Source organism: Homo sapiens, chromosome 7 (genome assembly GCF_000001405.40).
Source record: "Homo sapiens chromosome 7, GRCh38.p14 Primary Assembly".
NCBI classification, from domain to species: Eukaryota; Metazoa; Chordata; class Mammalia; order Primates; family Hominidae; genus Homo; species Homo sapiens.
In genome coordinates, this window is record NC_000007.14 from 65,475,618 (window position 1) to 65,482,110 (window position 6,493).

The 6,493-nt window shown below is 49.1% G+C and overlaps 1 long non-coding RNA gene across 1 annotated transcript; it reads left to right on the forward strand.

Moving 5' to 3' along the window:
* The first annotated feature begins 466 nt into the window (after window positions 1-466).
* LOC124901660 (uncharacterized) lies at window positions 467-4,758 on the forward strand. The gene is made up of 3 exons (XR_007060365.1): window positions 467-798; window positions 1,816-2,994; window positions 4,655-4,758. It is a non-coding gene; the product is annotated as an uncharacterized LOC124901660 (long non-coding RNA).
* Window positions 4,759-6,493: the final 1,735 nt, after the last annotated feature.

Below are 6,493 nucleotides of genomic sequence, written 5' to 3' on the forward strand. Positions count from 1 at the left end.
TGTGTAGCTTTTGGAACTCTGGTCTGTATTCTACTTCAGACTTGGCCCTGCTGGCTGGTCTCTGAAACATGTGGCTCCAAGTAAATGCTAGGAATACTTGTGTAATTGAGCTGATCTTTCATAAGTGTCTATGGAGATGTCTTATTTTTTGGTTTGGGGGTTGGGTGTTAGGGTCATCCCGACCAGACTGTTCCCCTCCCTTCCCATGGGTGTTATAATGCAGTCCTTTGTGACCTCTGCACTGCTTCCCCAGGGCTAAAGACAAACACCCCTTCACCGACCCCTCCAGTAATTGTTTGTCCAGGCAGTTACAGGATGTGGTTAACATGTCTGTTGACCTCGCATAACAAAGCTGGCAAAAACATCTCCAGGATGTGGTCAAGACACCTGCACCCTCAGCTCAGCTCCCCCACCCCAACTCAGCCCTCCTGCACACCCAACTCAGCTGCCCCACCCTGACCCAGTTACTCACCTTATAAAGCCCTGTTGTAGTCTGTAAGAGGGGCTGCCTCCTCTGCTTTTGTCAGGAGGTAGCCCGGCAGGACTGACAATAAATCAGCTTGCCTGAACTTGGGTCTGCTGGCCTCACTCCTTTCTCGGCTGTCCTTCCAATTATACCTTATGTCTTGGTGCCGAAACCGGGAAGGTGGTAGAGTTCGGCCTCCTTTTCTCCCTTTATCCTCCCCCTGCTCCTTCCCCTGGCCGAACTCCCCCTTCCAGAACCTGCTAGAGACCCAAGGATCTCATACATCTTTTCCATTGCTGGCGAACACATCCAACACCAGGGACACCTCAGGAGTGAGTAAAGGAGACATACCTTCCGTCCGGAACCCTTGTCCGCTCTTTCCTTCCCAAAAGACCCAGCGCTGGGCCAAAGGTTTCCTCGTCCCAGCCTCCAGGAGACCCTCGATGTCTCCCTATCAGTGATGCCTGTACGGGGGATTATCGTACCTCTCCGACTTAAACTGTGGGACAGGGGACGCCTTCTCCCGCCATCCTTGTCTCTGGCCAAGTCTTCCATCTCTACCCCTCTCTCATTCCACTATGGGAGCCTCCCAGTCCACTCCCTCAAAGGCATCCCCCCATCGGGTGTCTCCTCCGTAACCTTAACACCCTTAACCTCCATTCCAAAATTTGGCCAAAAAGGCTCATCTTTCATTGTAACACAGCCTGACCTCAGTATAAATTGGGCAATGGCTCCCAGTGGTCTAAAAATGGCACATTCGATTTTAACACCCTCAGGGACCTGGACAACGTTTGCCATCGCAATGGAAAGTGGTCTGAAATCCCTTATGTTCAGGCCTTTTTTGCCCTCCGTAGCTGCCCCTCCCTTTGTCAGCCCTGTTCTGGTTTTCAAATCCTCCTTGCCCGCTCCAAGCCAGACTCATCCTCAGCTCCCCTTCCTTCTGACGATTCCTCCTTCTTTAACCCTGCTGACTTTTCCTCTCCCTGACAACACCGTAATCCTCCCCCAAATCATCACAATCCTCCACCATATGCTCCCGCTCCTGCCTTACCTCTTTCCCCTCCTCTCTCCAACCACCCAGATTCTGATTCTAATTCCTCCCCATCTCCACCTCCAGCAGGCCCAGCAGTCGGCCCCCTTACTTCCCCTGCGAGAGCTGGCAGGGGCTAAAGGAATTGTTCACGTCCACATTCCGTTCTCCCTCTCCAACCTTTCCCAAATTAAGAAACGTCTCAGATCCTTTTCCTCCAATCCTGACACTTATATCAAAAAGCTCAAATACCTCACCCCATCTTACAAATTCACTTGGCTTGATCTCCATATTATCCTCTCTTCTACTCTCTTCCCAGGAAAGAAAAACAAAACAAAACAAAGTGTGGCTTGCAGCTCAGTCGCATGCCAACGATCTTCATCGGCAAGACCCTACTAAGCCCCTAGGGGCCGCTGCAGTTCCCCGAGAAGACCTTCCTGGGAGTACCAACCCACATAACCTGGCCAGGCATCTCATAACCATGTGATTACTTGCCTCATCACAGGCCTTAACAAAGCAGCCCATAAGGCCATAATTTTTGAAAAGCTGAAAGAAATCTCCCAAAGAGCAAATGAAAACCCTGCTGAATTTCTTTCCCGCCTTACAGAGGCCCTCCAAAAATATACCCTTGTTGACCCCACCTCCCGGGAAGGAACCATTGTTCTGTTTTTTTTTTAAGATGGAGTCTCGCTCTGTCGCCCAGACTGGAGTGCAGTGACGCGATCTCGGTTTACTGCAAGCTCCGCCTCCTGGATTCATGCCATTCTCCTCTCTCAGCCTCCCGCCTAGCTGGGACTACAGGCACCTGCCGCCATGGCCGGCTAAATATTTTTTGCGTTTTTAGTAGAGAGAGGGTTTCACTGTGTCAACCAGGATGGTCTCGATCTCCTGACCTCGTGATCCGCCCGCCTCGGCCTCCCAAAGTGCTGGGATTACAGGCGTGAGCCACCACTCCTGGCCCTGGAACTATTGTTCTTAATATCCATTTCATCTCTCAGTCTGCTCCTGACATACAAAAGATGGCCCTCAAACCCCTCAACAAGACCTCCTTAACCTGGCCTTTAAGGTCTTCAACAACAGAGATAAGCAAAATAAATTAGATAAAGCCCAACGAGATGGTAATAAATACCAGCTCCTAGCAGCAGCTATTTGTCAGCCTACCCAGGCTGCCCAGGGGCACAAAAGACCTGATAGCAGTGACCCTCCCAGGCCCTGTTTTAATGTGAAAAAGAAGGCCCTTGGGCCCAAGCATGCCCTAACCCACAAGTGCCAAAAACTCCTTGCCCAGCCTGCCAACAAACCGGTCACTGGAAGTCCGATTGTCCTCTTAAGCAGACTAACCGGCCGGTTCCTCAAGGCCCTGGCAAAGCAAAGAGTGAAAAATCATTCACACCCCCACAGCTCCTTGGCCTTGCCACTGAAGACTGATGGAGCCCAGGGACCCTGGCCCCATCTGCCGTCACTGCATTGGAGCCCAGGGTAACTCTGCTAATAGCAGGTAAGCCGATCTCTTTTTTTAATCAATAGCTGGGCCACCTACACGGCTTTACCTGAATTTTTAGGACCCACTTACCCTTCCCAGGCCTCTGTGGTGGGGGTTGATGGACTTGTCTTCTGTCCACGTGCTACTGAATCCCTTACTTGTTCCCTATTTAATACTATTTTTTCACACTCCTTCCTTATCATGCCTCATTGCCCCACCCCCATCCTAGGCCGAGACATTTTAGCCAATTTTGCAGCTTTTATCACCTTTTCCTGTCCCCCTCAACCAGAAGTCCCTCCTGCTTCTCTCTGCTAGTCCGGCATCTGACCCCCTCTCCAGCACCCGCTACCCACCTCTCTCGTTAACCCAGTAGTGTGGGACACCACCACCCCTGCCATAGCTGCTCACCAGGACTGCATCAAAATCCAGTTAAAAGACCCCTCTAAATTTCCCGACGTTCCCCAATATCCCATTTCCCTAACACACCAAAGGGCTTACAACCCACCATAAACAAGCTCTGCTCACACAGTCTTCTTAGACCAACACACTCTCCATATAACAACCCCATCCTCCCTATTAAAAAATCCAACGGCTCATACCAACTCATTCAGGACCCCTGAGCTATCAATCAGGCTGTCCTCCCTGTTCATCCTGTAGTCCCTAACCCCTATACACTTCTCTCTCTCATCCCCTCCAACACAACCCACTACACTGCAATTGACCTGAAAAATGCCTTCTTCACCATTCCCCTACACCCTGATTCCATAAACCTCTTTGTTTCACCCAAACTGACTGCAACACCCTCCAGTCACAACAACTCACGTGGACTGTCCTCCCTCAGGGCTTCAAGGATAGCCCTCATTTCTCCAGGCAAGCCCTAGCCCAAGACCTCGCCTCCTTGGATCTTTCCCCCAGCCACCTTCTTCTATATGTAGAGGAACTCCTCCTCTGTAGCCCCTCCCTAAAAGGCTCCCAAACTCACACTGCAGCCCTTCTCAATTTCCTTGCTAATAAAGGCTGAAGCTCCCAGCCAAATAAAGCTCCTTCCTTCTTTAACATGGTGTCTGAGGAGTTTTGTCTGTGGCTCATCCTGCTACATCATAACTAGTTGGAAAGTACTGCCTTTGCTGCCTTAGATGTGTAGAACCTTTAGTCTTGGCCTTGGCTTAATTTAATGTGACCTCTGCAGCTAAGAACAATAGTTCCAGGGCCAGGAGCGGTGGCTCACGCCTGTAATCATAGCACTTTTGGGAGGCCGAAGTGGGCGGATCATGAGGTCAAGAGATTGAGACCATCCTGGCTAACATGGTGAAATCCTATCTCTACTGAAAATGCATGATCATTTGGCTCTTCTGAGATCTGAGATCATTTGGCTCTTCCCCTAGGGAACTAATGGTTTCCCACTTTTTCTTTTGCTGGCATTCTGGGGTATATCTTACTTGGCCATCTCCAGAAGTCAGAGTGGAACTACTGAAGAGTTTCAAAGAGCTGTGGAAGAACTGTGCTCAGTGTTTAAAACAGTCCTTTCCGTTTTCAGAAACAGGTTTTCTGCTTTGTTTTCAAACTTCAAAATTTATTTCTGAAACAAAGATTTATTTTCCCTGTGGTATTCTGAAGGTTTTATACAACTGTTAATTTCTAAAACCTAAGTCATTTCTTGGTTTTAAAACTTCAGTGCTGGCAGAGTGGAGCCAAGATGGCTGAATAGGAACAGCTCCAGTCTACAGCTCCCAGCATGAACGATGCAGAAGATGGGTGATTTCTGCATTTCCAACTGAGGTACTGGGTTCATCTCACTGGGGAGTGCCGGACAGTGGGTGCAGGACAATGGGTGCAGTGCATCGTGGGTGAGCCAAAGGAGGGCGAGGCATCACTTCACCCAGGAAGCACAAGGGGTCAGGGAATTCCCTTTCCTAGTCAAAGAAAGGGGTGACAGACAGCACCTGGAAAACAGGGTCACTCCCATTCTAATAGTGTGCTTTTCCAACAGGCATAACAAATGGCACACGAGGAGATTATATCCCGCACCTGGCTTGGAAGGTCCTATGCCCACGGAGCCTTGCTCATTGCTAGCACAGCAGTCTGAGATAAAACCACAAGGTGGCAGTGAGACTAGGGGAGGAGTGCCCACCATTGACAAGGTTTGAGTAGGTAAACAAAGTGGTCGGGAAGCTTGAACTGGGTGGAGCCCACCACAGCTCAAGAAGGCCTGCCTGCCTCTGTAGGCTCCACCTCTGGGGGCAGGGCACAGACAAACAAAAGACAGCAATAACCTCTGCAGACTTCAATGTCCCTGTCTGACAGCTTTGAAGAGAGCAGTGGTTCTCCCAGCACGCAGCTTGAGATCTGAGAACGGGCAGACTGCCTCCTCAAGTGGGTCCCTGACCCCTGAGCAGCCTAACTGGGAGGGACACCCCAGTAGGGGCAGACTGACACCTCACATGGCCGGGTACTCCTCCGAGACAAAATTTCCAGAGGAATGATCAGGCAGCAGCATTTGCTGCTCACCAATATCCACTGTTCTGCAGCCACCGCTGCTGACACCCAGGCAAACAGGGTCTGGAGCGACCTCCAGCAAAATCCAACAGACCTGCAGCTGAGGGTCCTGACTGTTAGAAGGAAAACTAACAAACAGAAAGGACATTCACACCAAAAACCCATCTGTTGGTCACCATCATCAAAGACCAAAGGTAGATAAAACCACAAAGATGGGGAAAAAAACAGAGCAGAAAAACTGGACACTCTAAAAATCAGAGCAACTCTCCTCCTCCAAAGGAATGCAGCTCCTCACCAGCAAAGGAACAAAGCTGGATGGAGAATGACTTTGACGAGTTGAGAGAAGGCTTCAGAAGATCAAACTACTCTGAGCTAAAGGAGGAAGTTCAAACCCATGGCAAAGAAGTTGAAAACCTTGAAAAAAAAATAGATGAATGGCTAACTAGAATAACCAATGCAGAGAAGTCCTTAAAGGACCTGATGGAGCTGAAAACCATGGCACGAGAACAATGTGATGAATGCACAAGCCTCAGTAGCCGACGCGATCAACTGGAAGAAAGGGTATCAGTGATTGAAGATCAAATTAATGAAATGAAGTGAGAAGAGAAGTTTAGAGAAAAAAGAATAAAAAGAAATGAACAAAGCCTCCAAGAAATATGGGACTATATGAAAAGACCAAATCTACATCTGACTGGTGTACCTGAAAGTGACAGGGAAAATGGAACCAAGTTGGAAAACACTCTGCAGGATATTATATAGGAGAACTTCCCCAATCTAGCAAGGCAGGCAGACATTCAAATTCAGGAAATACAGAGAATGCCACAAAGATACTCCTCGAGAAGAGCAACTCCAAGACACATAATTGTCAGATTCACCAAAGTTGAAATGAAGGAAAAAATGTTAAGGGCAGCCAGAGAGAAAGGTCGGGTTACCCACAAAAGGAAAGTCAACAGACTAACAGCTGATCTCTCAGCAGAAACTCTACAAGCCAGAAGAGAGTGGGGTACAATATTCAACA